The sequence below is a fragment of the Homo sapiens genome, chromosome 18 (genome assembly GCF_000001405.40).
Source record: "Homo sapiens chromosome 18, GRCh38.p14 Primary Assembly".
Classification (NCBI taxonomy): Eukaryota; Metazoa; Chordata; class Mammalia; order Primates; family Hominidae; genus Homo; species Homo sapiens.
Window position 1 is genome coordinate 49,395,866 of NC_000018.10, and position 13,227 is coordinate 49,409,092.

The 13,227-nt window shown below is 38.8% G+C and overlaps 1 protein-coding gene across 41 annotated transcripts in view, besides 1 other annotated feature; it reads right to left on the minus strand.

The window, feature by feature from the left end:
* DYM (dymeclin) overlaps window positions 1-13,227 on the minus strand; it is a 424,259-nt gene that overhangs the window by 359,479 nt on the left and 51,553 nt on the right. The window lies entirely within an intron of this gene.
* Window positions 5,764-5,813: a silencer, noted in NCBI's record as "silent region_9447". NCBI's record gives its function as "represses an Ori minimal core promoter by ATAC-STARR-seq in GM12878 lymphoblastoid cells {active_cell/tissue: GM12878}" and the evidence as "EXISTENCE:reporter gene assay evidence [ECO:0000049][PMID:35858748]".

Sequence of the window (13,227 nt, forward strand, 5' to 3'; positions counted from 1 at the left end):
ATTGAAATCTGATCCCCAATGTTAGAGGTGGGGCCTAATGGGAGGTGTCTGGGTCATGGGGGCAGATCCCTTATGAACAGACTGATACCCTCCCTCAGAAGTGGGTAACTTCTCACTCTATTAGTTCCCATTAGTACTGGTTGTGAAAAAGAGCCTGGCACCTCCCCGCCCCATTGCACCCTTTCTCATCATATGTTCTCTGTACACACCAGCTCCCCTTCACCTTCTGCCATGAGTGGAAGCAGCCTGAGGCCCTCATCAGATGCAGATGCTGGTACCAGCCTGCAGAAGTGTGAGCCAAATAAACCTCTTTTCTTTATAAATTACCCAGCTTCAGGTATTTCTTTATAGCAACACAAAACAGACCAAGACGTTAGGAAAGTAAATTAGTACAGCCATTAAGGACAACAGTAGGGAGGTTTTTCAACAAATTAAAAATAGAACTACCATATAATCCAATAATCCGACTGTTGGGTATAAACATTGAGCATCCCTTACCCAAAATGCTTGAGACCAGGAGCATTTCTGATTTCAGATTTTTTTTTCCGATTTTGAAATATTTGCATTATAGCTGAGCATCCCTAATCCAAAAATCCAAAATCCAAAATAGTACAGTGAGCATTATCCTCTAAGCATCACGTCAGTGCTCAAAAAGTTTTGGATTTTAGAGCATTCTGGATTTCAGATTTTTGGATTAGGGATACTCAACCTCTATATCCAAAGAAAACAAAATCAGTATGTCAAAGAGATATCTGCACTCTCATGTTTACTGCAGCACTATTCACAATGGCCAAGATATGGAATCAACCTAAGTATCCATCAATGGATGAATTTTTTTAATGAGGTACATATACACAATGGAATACTATTCAGGCATAAAAATAAATGAAATCCCGTCATTTGCGGCACCTGGATGAACCCACAAGACATTAAGTGAAATAAGTCAAGCACAAAAGACGAATAACACATGATCTCACTCATCTGTGAAAACTTAAAAAGTTGATCCCATAGAGATAAACAGTAGAATAGTGGTACTGAAGGCTGGGTAGGACAGGCAGGGAGAGGGAGAGAGGTCAACAGGTATAAAGTTACATTAGATAAAAGGGATAAGTTCTAATGTTCTATTATACAGTAAGGTGACTAGAGTTAACAATAATGTACTTTACATTTCAAAATGGCTAAAATAATTTTGAATGTTCTCACCACAAAGAAATAACAAGTGTTTGAGGTGATGGATATGCTAATTGCCCTGATTTAATCATTACACAATGTATAATGCATCGAAACATCATATGGTACCCCATAAATATGTACAATTATGTGTCAATTAACAAAATAAAACTTTTTAAAAATGATAACTATTATTGATTCCAAAATGTAGTAATTTACCCATAGATGATAAATTAAAATAATGCTTCACATTTGTTTAACCCTTTAAATATCTTTCAAAACACTTTCAAATATATTGGTGCAATTAAATTCCATGAAAATCTCTTCTGTGGGACAGGACCATTATAAATCTTATTTTTACAGATAAGCAAACTGAGGCATCCAAGGAGTTTAAAGTAAAATTCCAGGAATCAGAAGTCTGAGAAGAACAAGAACTGGCTTTAGAGCCTGGTGACTTGGTTAAAAATTATGTTTTCTTTTTTACCAATACACATGGTGCAGTAAATCCTCCAAATGGGCAACTCTTTTGTACCAGCTTTAAAACCCATACCCCTCCAGGGTTCTTTTCTGTTGCTGGTGAAGTGCACTTTTTAAAAGAGTAATTCATACCATCAAGATTTTTGACAAGAAAATTTTAGAAAAACTGTGGAAGAAAACTGATTGCTCTTAGTTCTAGCCATGTGTAATTGCTGACCACCTGAAATGGTCCAAACTGAGATTTGCTAAAGCATAAAATACACACCATATTTCAAAGGTTTTTAAAAGAATGTAAAACATTTCATTAATTTTATATTCATATAACGATTATATCTGGGAAACTGGGGTTAAATAAAATACATTAAAATTAAATTCACCTTTTTCATTTTACTTTTTCAATGTGGCTACTAGAAAACCTTAAATTACAAATGTGGCTTATCTTGTATTTCTGCTGGACAGAGCTGCTAGAACCTCCCAGCAATTAAAGAGTGTCATGCATAAAAATCATATATACACACAAAGCTAAGACTTACTAACTATAGTGAATATCCCGTTACCTTAAGAGTCTCAAATTATATGCATATTTTAAAAGATATCGTCTTTTTAAAGTTAAATTTTTTAAGTTTCACCTAGGACTGACTTTTTTTAACAAAATAACCTAGAAGTGATCCTATGATATAGTTTAAGGGTAGTAGTTTATGGAGACTCACCATATTAGATATTTATAAGGTGTCTGCCAGCCTTACAATGTCTCTCTGCTGTCTGTCTCTCTGTCTGCTGCCTCCCTACCCCTTTTTCTATCTTCCCACCTACTTTTCGGAGGTGAGCAGAGGCAGACAGATATGTGCAGCATGTCTCCGCTCCTGGCCACAGCTGACTAGTCCAGGGATAGACATCTAACCCAAGCCTAGCCCAAGTCTTAGAGAATTTAGAATTGAGATGGAAAGACAGGCTTTCCATTTGGCTAGAACTTGGCTGCATAGTTTAGGGCTGTGGGAGGCCACCCTCTACCGACAGAGTGGCAGAGAAAGCCAGTTAGTAAGAAAGATGAGTAAAAGCTTTGCAGAAAGAAAGACATAAACAGAAAGGACCCTCAGGATTGCTGATGGCTTTCCAATTCCTGGGACCAGTTCTTCCAGAAGCCTGAGTGTGTTCCTGATCTTGGATTCTATGAGACACTCCAGTGTCTTCATCACATCTTCCCCTTTTTCTGGCATATAGTAAGTAAAACTGATTTTTGTTGACAACCAGAAGACTTCTAATTAATAAATCACTGTGGTCAGATTTAATGATACACATTAGTAGTTGGCAAGAAATGGGAACTATGAATTACTCGGTTTATTGGTTACTCAGACAAAAAGTAAAAGAGGTATAAAATGCAAAGGATTGTAAAAAGCTTTATGAAATTAATAACTAGACCACATGCATAAAATCTATTTCACTTTCTTCAGTCAATGGCACTCTCTTTTAAAGCTGACTGGAACCAAGAGTTTCAATTATACACATATGGCTGTAATCTTCGAAGCTGCTAAATTTGTTCATCAGCAAATAGTGCTTGGGTGCCTAGGACATGCTAGGCTTCGTGAAAGATGCTGCCTCTGCCTCCAGGCTACATGGAGGAATGAAAAAGCAGACAGACAGTTCAGTACAGGGGAAGTATGAATTATGAAACCAGCCCTGTGTGTGAGCTCACAGGATGTGCACTCAACGTACCATAGAAGGAATCAAAGAGGCTATCCTGGAGGAAGTAACTATTCTTCCTGAAGGGCCAAGAGACATCAGGCAGGCAGAACAAAGAGAATAGTGCATGCAGAGGCATCGCAGTCACAGAGAGCCTGGCATGCCCTGGGAAGGGGTGGTTAATCAACACAGGGGAATGGCAAACTACAAAGCTGGAAAAGTATTCTAGACGGCTGGAATACCAAGTTCAGTCTCTCCATTTTTGTTTTGGGTATAAACAAAAACCAAAACAGGGCTCTGGTTTATTTTTACAACAGTATTAGCCTGAAAAGGGGATTAATTCCAACGTATATTAGTGAGGTTGGTTTGGACATCACTCCTTCCAGGAAGCCTTCTTTGATCAGGTCTCACCTAAGACAAGGTAAGAAGTCCATTCTCCACCCCAACACCCAACAGCTCTCAATCATAAAACTGAGCACGCAGCAGTAAGATTGCCCAGTTGCTTGTCTATGGCCCCCACTAGATTGTGGGCTCCTTGTTCATCACAGTATTCCAGCCTGGTACAGAGCAGGCAGTTAGGCACTGTCAGACACCACTCAGACCTTCATTACCAGGAGACAGAATTATTTCCCCTGGCTCCTTAGGAAACACTTCCCAGTCTCCAGCCCTCAAGGCAAGGTCTGCCGCTCAAGTTTAAATTTCTGTTAAAATATTTTTTAAAAGACATTTATTTTTATTTTTCTTTTTTTTTTTTTTTTTTTTTTTTTGAGACGGAGTCTTCCTTTATCACCCAGGCTGGAGTGCAGTGAGTGATCTTGGCTCACTGCAACCTCTGCCTCCCAGGCTCAAGCAATCCTCCTGCCTCAGCCTCCCAAGTAGCTGGGATTACAAGCACTTGCCACCACGCCTGGCTAATTTTTGAATTTTTAGTAGAGACGACGTTTCACCATGTTGGCCAGACTGGTCTTGAACTCCTGACCTCAGGTGATCCACCCACCTTGGCCTCCCAAAGTGCTGAGATTACAGGTGTGAGCCATAGCACCCAGACTAAAAGACATTTCTTTCTTTCCAAATATAAAAGAGCATATCCTTTTGAAGCAGTCTGATTTGTCAGAATTATCTGGAAAGCTCCCCACTGTGGTGAGCCAGCCAGCACCTGCCATTCTGTGACTATGTCCCCCAGGCCTGGATCCCCCAACACACAGCCACAATCTGAAACAGCACCACTGCCACTGCCTCGTTCAACAATCAACACTTTAGAGCAGAAGCATCTTCAGAGCCCACATTATAAGCTCCAAGAGAACAGGAAGATCTCATTCACTTATACATCCCCCACTGTGTCTGATACAGTGGCTCAGCCAGAAAAAAACCACTTGGTAATTATTTATTAACTAAAGGAGTCATAGAGCTCTGTTTGTTGCAGGATGCCTGCAATTTCTGCACTCTGAAGTGTTAGTTATTTCTACAGAAGAAATCAGCCAGGCACACCCCTGCCAAAAGCAACACACCAATTATTTGTTACATTAGAATTCCTTTCCTTTCATCCTTCCATCCCTCAATTTTCTAAACTTCTTGGAACATTTTAAGAATAATCTGCTTTCCTATTTGCTTGATTTAGAGCTATAATGAGGTAGTAAGGAACTGGGGTGGTTGGTAACTGTTGCTGCCTGTTACAGGCATCTATGCACAATGCTGTTTTAGTTAAACAAATGAGCTCAGATGTGCTGGCAGCAGGCAACTAACAAACCATCATTTGCAGTAAATAAAAGTAAAATGGTACTGTAAAAATATGCCAGTGTTTCCAAGAATATTACAATTAGAAACCAAATGTTGTTTCTGAAGGCAGATTTGGGCAGTAAAAACACACAAAAGGGGGCAAAAAGGCAGTGTCAAATATTCATACTAATTCAGACTAAATAAGTATCACACAGTATACTTCAAGTTTAATGCATACATAAATTCCATACCTCCAGGTCAATTTGAAAACTGTCAATAGTGGGAAATTAGGGATAAATACTTAAAACTAGTAATCTCTTAGTCAAAGTAGCTAAACAAACTAAACTCTCAACAACCATACTGATCCAATGACCAGGTGTGACTCTCCCTGAAGCAATCCATATATTAGAAGCCTTCTTCTCAGAGGATGGCCACACTATCACTTTGGCAGCAACATAAACAGATGGGAGTCACAAAACTGGAATCTCAGTTTTATTTTGTTTTTTACTGATACATAATAATTGTAAATATTTGTGGGATACATGTGGTATTTTGATACATGTACACACTGTGAAAGATCAAATCAGGGTAATTGGGGCATCCTCATCTCAAACATCTGTCATTTCTTTGTGTCAGTTTTGCTGGTGACATCACAATAAACAATTACTAAGGGATTGGAGAACTATGCCCAAGAATCAATCAATCAACCTTTCTCTCTCTCTCTCTCTCACACACACGCACACACACACAAAATCTGAAACACGGTTAAGAAACTTCATTGGGCTACCCGGAAGATAATTCAGTAAGGAAGTGGTTATGAAAATTTTCACAACTAGGCTGGGTGCTGTGGCTCATGCCTGTAATACCAGCACTCTGGGAGGCTGAAGCGGGTGGATCACCTGAAATCAGGAGTTCAAGACCAGCCTGGCCAACGTGGCAAAACCCCATCTCTACTAAAAATACAAAAATTAGCTGAGTGTGGTGATGCGCACCTGTAATCCCAGCTACTTGGGAGACTGAGGCAGGAGAATCACTTGAACCCGGAAGGTGGAGGTTGCAGTGAGCCGAGATGACACCACTGCACTCCAGCCTGGGCAACAAGAGCGAAACTCTGTCTCAAAAAAAAAAAAAAAGAAAAAAGAAAATGTTCACAACTATAGAGGAAGCTCTTAAACATTACCATTGCCACTTCTGGGCCATATTCTGTTTGCTTCCTTGGATTTCATGAAGAGAATCTCCCTAGGGAGACAACTGTCATCAACCTCAACCTCACACCCTCTACATGAAGTGTAGGTTGCAGAGAAGACTGGTAAGGTAAATCAGAGCAAAAGAATGGAGTATCCTTATGTCATGCTAAGGAGTTTGGATTCCATCCTACATCTAATGGGGAGTCATTAAGCACAAAATAAAACACAAACATTAACAAAACTCTTAGAGCAGCAGCAAGATGGTCAGGGCATATAATGGTTAAATATCTGACCCTGGCTACAACCATCCTGAGATTTTTAGGGGGGAAGAAAAAGATAATGAGAACGACAGCAATAATCAGGTCTCCACTAGAGTATATGATAAAGTCTAACCATGTGCTCACAACAATCCCTATATAATTAACCACTGCTGCCAAGTGTCTGGCTAGCAGATTTTGATGAACCACTAACTGTTACTAAATCACAACACAATCAGGTACATAATCTTTAAAAATTCTTGTTTAATTCCACTAAAATTATAGACCAAATTAAAATACTAGGAAGGATTTCCAACAGCAAGAATATGGAACGTCTCTGCACCCACTGGATTCATAGGCGGATCATGTTTAAAACATATACACCAAGTGCACTCTACCTCTCAGTTTAACCACTGCCATCAATTAGCAAAACTCCTGCACACTGCTCACATAGATTTCCAATCTTGTGCTTGTTACTGAAAAGCAGATATGCCCCTGGTATAATGGAAAGCGATCGATTTTTGAAGCTGCATATTTAAGTTCCAACTTCTTCATTAACTACTGGTATGACCTAGCCAAATTACTTAATTTGAGAATCGCAGTTCTCATCTGTAAAATGGAGGTAAAAATGCCACCAACTCATAGGACAGCTATGAAGATGATATGGCAATGTGTGGAAAGTGCCCAGCACACAGCTCAATAAATATGAGTTCCCTAACTCCCCAAAACCAACAAGAAAACCCATAAGTATTGAACTGTCAAATATTTATTTATTTATCCCTTAATACACACTTAAATTACTAATTTATCAGCCTTCCCTTATCTTCCCCTGCACTGAGCAGGAGGGGAGTATAAAACATCATTTAGTAATTTTGAAGTGGTTATACGTTTTGAAATAGTACCAAAGCAGCTCTATTAAACAACTGTAAGTGATCTGCTTTGATTTTATTTACATTAATGTTTCATTACAATAGAAGTATAAACCTAGTAGATGACAAAGAAAATCAACATCCTTGTTCACACCTAGGACATCTCTCAGTATTAAGCAACTTACATTTGTATGATGTTTTATAGTTTACAAGGTGGTTTTGAATATATGATTTCATTTGATACAGCCATCTTGTGAAAAAGGAATAGCAGGTAGTATTTCTATTATAGATGAGATATTCACACTGATAAAGAAAATACTAAGTGGCAGAACAAAGACTTTTTTAAGTCTAGGTTTTTTATTTTTTTTAAATTTCAACTTTTATTTTGAATTCAGAGTGTACGTGTGCAGGTTTGTTACATGGGTATATTGCATGATGCTGAGATTTGGGATATGAATGATTCCATCACTCAGGTAATGAGCAAAGTACCCAACAGTTTTTTAACCCTTGTCCCCCTCCTTCTTCCCCCCATAGTAGTACCCAGTGTCTATTGTTCTCCTTTATATACATAAGTAATCAATGTTTAGTTTCCACCTGTATGTAAGAACATGCAGTATTTGGTTTTCTGTTCCTATGTTAATTTCCTTAGGATAACGGCCTCTAGCTGCATCCATGTTGCTTGCAAAGGATATGAATTCATTCCTTTTATGGCTGCATAATAGTCTATGGCATATATATAGCACATTTTATTTATCCAATTTACTGTTGTTTTTTCTGTTTTTTTTTTGTTTGTTTGTTTGTTTTGAGATGGAGTCTCTTTCTGTCACCCAGGCTGGAGTGCAATGGCACAATCTCGGCTCACTGCAACCTCCGCCTCCCGGATTCAAGCAATTCCCCTGCCTCAGCCTCCTGAGTAGCTGGGATTACAGGTGTATGCCACCACACCTGGCTAATTTTTGTACTTCTAGTAGAAATGGGGTTTCACCATGTTGGCCAGGCTGGTCTCGAACTCCTGACCTCAAGTGATCCTCCCGCCTAGGCCTCCCAAAGTGCTAGGATTAAAGGTGTGAGCCACCATGCCCAGCCTCCAATCCACTGTTGATGGGCACCTAGGTTGATGTGATGTCTTTGCTATTGCAAATACTGCTGTGATAAATATACAAGTGCATGTGTCTTTTTGGTAGAATTATTTATTTTCTTTTGAATATATACCCAGTAATAGGATTGCTGGGTGAAATGGTAATCCTGTTTTAAGTTCTTTGAGAAATCTCCAGACTGCTTTCCATGGTGGCTGAACTAATTTACATTCCCACCAACGATGTATAAGCACTCCCTTTTCTCTGCAGCCTCACCAGCATCTGTTATTTTTTGACCTTTTAATAACACCATTCTGACTGGTGTGAGATGGCAAATCACTGCGGTTTTGATTTGCGTTTCTCTAATGATTAATGATGTGGAGCACTTTTTCATGTTTGTTGGCTTCTTATATGTCTCCCTTTGAAAACTGTCCATTCACGGCTGGGCATGGTGGCTCACGCCTGTAATCCCAGCATTTTGGGAGGCCAAGGCAGGTGAATCACGAGGTCAGGAGTTCGAGACCAGCCTGACCAATGTGGTGAAACTTCTACTAAAAATACAAAAATTAGCCAGGCATGGTGGTGGGCACCTGTAATCCCAGCTACTCGGGAGGCTGAAGCAGGAGAACTGCTTGAACCTGGGAGGCAGAGGTTGCAGTGCGCCAAGGTTGCGCCATTGCACTCCAGCCTGGGTGACAGAGTGAGACTCCATCTCAAAAAAAAAAAAAAAAAGAAAGAAAAAGAAGGAAAAGAAAATTGTCCATTCATGCCTTTTCCTCATTTTTTAATGGGGTTATTTGGTTTTTGCTTGTTGAACTGTTTGAATTCCTTATAGATTCTGGATATTAGATGTTTGCTGAATGCAGTTTGCAAATATTTTCTCCCATTCTGTAGGTTGTCTGTTTACTCTGTTGATTTTTTATTTTGCTGTGCAGATGCTCGTTAGTTTAAATAGATTCCACTGGTCAATTTTTGTTTTTGTTACAATTGTTTTTCAGAACTTAGTCACAAATTCTTTCCCACAGCCAATGTCCAGAATGGTGTTTCCTAGGTTTTCTTGTAGGATTCCTACACTCTGTGTTCTTGCATTTAAATCTTTAATCCATCTTCAGTTAAACTTTTTATATGGTGAAAGGTAGTGGTCCAGTTTCATTATTCTGCATATGGTCAGCTATTCCAGAACCATTTATTGAATAGGAAGTCTTTTCCTTATGATTTTTGTCCGCTTTGACAAAGATCAGATAGCTGTAGGTATATGGCTTTATTTCTGGGTTCTCTATTCTGTTCCATTGGTCTGTTTTTGTGCCAATATCATGCTGGTTTTGTTACTGTAGCCTTATAGTATACTTAGAGGTCAGATAATGTGATGCCTCCAGCTTTGTTCTTTTTGCTTAGGATTGTTTTGGCTATTCAAGCTCTTTTTTTGGTTCCATATTTTTGAACAGTTTTTTCTAATTCTGTGAAAAATGACATGGTAGTTTCATAAGAATAGTATTGTATCTGTAGATTGCTTCGGACAGTATGGCCATTTTAACAATGTCAATTCTTCCCATCCATGAATATGGAATGTTTTTCCATTTGTTTGTATTGTCTATGATTTCTTTCAGCAGTGTTTTATTGTTCTCCTTATAGAGATCTTCCACCTCCTCGGGCAAATGTATTCCTAGGTATTTTCTTTTTTGTGAGGCTGTTGTTAATGGGTTTGCATTCTTGATTTGGTTGTCAGCTTGAATATTATCAATGTATAGAAATGCTACTGATTTTTGTACATTGATTTTGTATCCTTCTGAAGTCATTTATCTGCTCTAGGAATCTTCTGGAGGAGTTTTTAGGATTTTCTAGAAGCATATTGTCAGCAAAAAGAGATGGTTTGACTTCTTCTTTTCCTATTTGAGTACCTTTTATTTCTTTCTCTTGCCTGATTGCTCAGGCTAGGATGACCATTATTTTTATTTTTTAAAATAAAATGGCTATTACTTTGGATGTGCATGGTGGCTCACGCCTGTAATCCCAACACTTTGGGAGGCTGAGACAGGCAGATCACCTGAGGCAGGATTTTGAGACCAGTCTGGCCCCAAAGTGGTGAAACCCCGTCTCTACTAAAAATACAAAAATTAGCCAGGTCTGGTGGCTCACACCTGTAATCCCAGCTACTCAGGAGGTTGAGGCACAAGAATTACTTGAACCTGGGAGACAGAGGTTGCAGAGAGCCGAGATCATGCCACTGCACTCTAGCCTGAGTGATAGAGTGAGACTCTGTCTCAAAAAAGAAAAGAAAAGAAAAAAGAAAGTGGCTATTACTTTTTATTATTGTAAAAATGAACCATCCCAAAATCACCAGGAGGCAACACTAAACACCTATCAAAATTGCAAAAATAAAAAATAGTGACAACATCAAATGCCAGCGAGGAGGCAGATAAACTGGCTCTCTCACACATTGCTGATGGGAAAGTAAAGTGATAAAACCACTCTGGAAAGCCATTTGGCAATTTCCTATAAGGCTAAATATGCACTAACTATACAACACAGCAATTGTACTCTTGAACATTTATCTCAAAGAAATGAAAACTTATGTTCACTCAAAAACTTGTACATGAATTTCATAGCAACTTTATTCATTACAGCCAAAAAGTGGTAATGATCCAAATGTCCCTCAGTGAGTGACTGTCTAAACAAACTATGGCACATCTACAACACAGAACACTACTTAGCAATTAAAAAGGAATGAACAAGTGAGATCCATAACAACTTCAATGGATTTCAAGACACTATGCTGAGTGAAAGAAAAGAGCCCTTCTCAAAATGTTACGTAATGTAAAATTCCATTTACATAATATTGCTGAAATAAAACTACAGAAATAGAAAACTAATTAGTGGCTGCCAGGAATTAGGGATGGGGATGGGGAGGAGAGGATGGGTGTGGCTATAAAGGGTAAGCACTGTATCTTGATCATGGTTGGTTACATAAATCTACTCACATGATAAAACGGTATAGAGCTATACATAAACACATAAATGAATGCACGGATAAATAACTGTGTTAGTCCATTTTGCATGGCTATAAAGGAATACCGGAGCCTGAGTAATTTATAAAGAAAAGAGGTTTAATTTGTTCATGGTTCTTCAAGCTGTATAAGAAGCATGGTGTTAGCAACTGCTCAGCTTCTGGTAAGGCCTCAGGAAGCTTACAATCATTGCAGAAGGTGAAGGAGGAGCCAGCATGTTACAAGGCAAGAGAAGAAGCAAGAGAGAGAAAGGAAAGAGATGCCACACTCTTTTAAACAACTAGATCTTGTGTGAACAAACTGAGCAAGAATTCACTCATCATCAGGGGATGGCGCTAGCCATTCATGAGGGATCTGCCACCATGACCCAAACACTTCTCACCAGGCCCTACCTCCAACGTTGGAGGTCACATTTCAACATGAGATTTGGAGGGGACAAAATATCCAAACCGTATCACTGACAGCTGAAATCTCAATAAGCTCTGGGGATTGTACCAATGTCAGTTTCCTATTTTTGATACTGTACTGTAGTTATACAAGATGTTACAGTTACAAGAAACTATGGGAGCTAAAGAACCACCCTGTACATTTTTGCAACCTCTAATCCATTTAAATTATTTCCAAGTAAGTTTTAAAAACTGAACCAGCCAGGTGCAGTGGCACATGCCTGTAGTGCCAGCTACTCAAGAGGCTGAAGGGGGAGGACTGCCTGATTCCAGGAATTTAAGAACAGCCTGGGCAACATAGCAAGACCTCATCTCAAAAAAAAAAAAAAAACTGAACCATAAAAAGCTATACAAACATATTAAAAATTTAAATGAATATATCATATACATTTTAAAATATATATACAATTTTGCATGAACAATATTATGTTATACACATGGTTTTATAACTGGCTTTAACTACTTAATATGCTGTAGGTCCTTTTCCATATCTAAAAACATAGGATTGTTTTTAACGGCTATATGTTGTTCCAGTGTGCAGATGCACCATTTTTATTTATGTAGCCGATCTTACTGGTGGACATTTAAGTTGTTAGCAATTTTCTACCATAAACATTGCTATGAATGTCTTTACACATGTCTCTCCACATATATTTCTGAACTTGTCCAATTATGTCCTTAACATAAATCTGGAAGTGCAATTGCTAGGTCAATGAACACTTCTGTTCTGATGAATGTCGCAAATTATATTCCAGAAAGATTACCCACCAGTAGTGCATAATTGTGGCTTATAATCTTCCACACATTGCTAGATTTGCAAAGTTGCAAATCAAGATCTTTTGACACCAAATCCAGTTATCTTTAAACTCAAATAAGTATGTGATGATAGTAAGCAAGCATAAAGCTTTATTACAAATATGGATTGTTTTCCCTCTAAAATGGCCTACAGAGGAACCCATAAAGGGTATGATGTCTAAGTAGCAAATTATTACCGTGCCATGTAAATTTAGAAGGAACCCTATTCAACATGACCTAAATTCTTTAGCTGTCCCAGGCAATCAATTGTTGTATTAAATAACAAGAGGGACGGGGCACATAAATATTGTACAGAGTTTATAACCTCTATGGACTTAAACTCATGTGAGAATCCTCTGGCATAACAAACGGCTCTGGCCTAAACTTCAAGAATGGTCTAGTCAACAAAATACAGAAATATTCAGTTGTGACAGAAAAAGTAAAAACTCAGTAAATGTGGGCTGGGCACAGTGGTTCACACTTGCAATCCCAGCACCCTGGGAGGCCGAGGCAGGTGGATCACCTGAGGTCAGGAGTTCAGGACCAGCC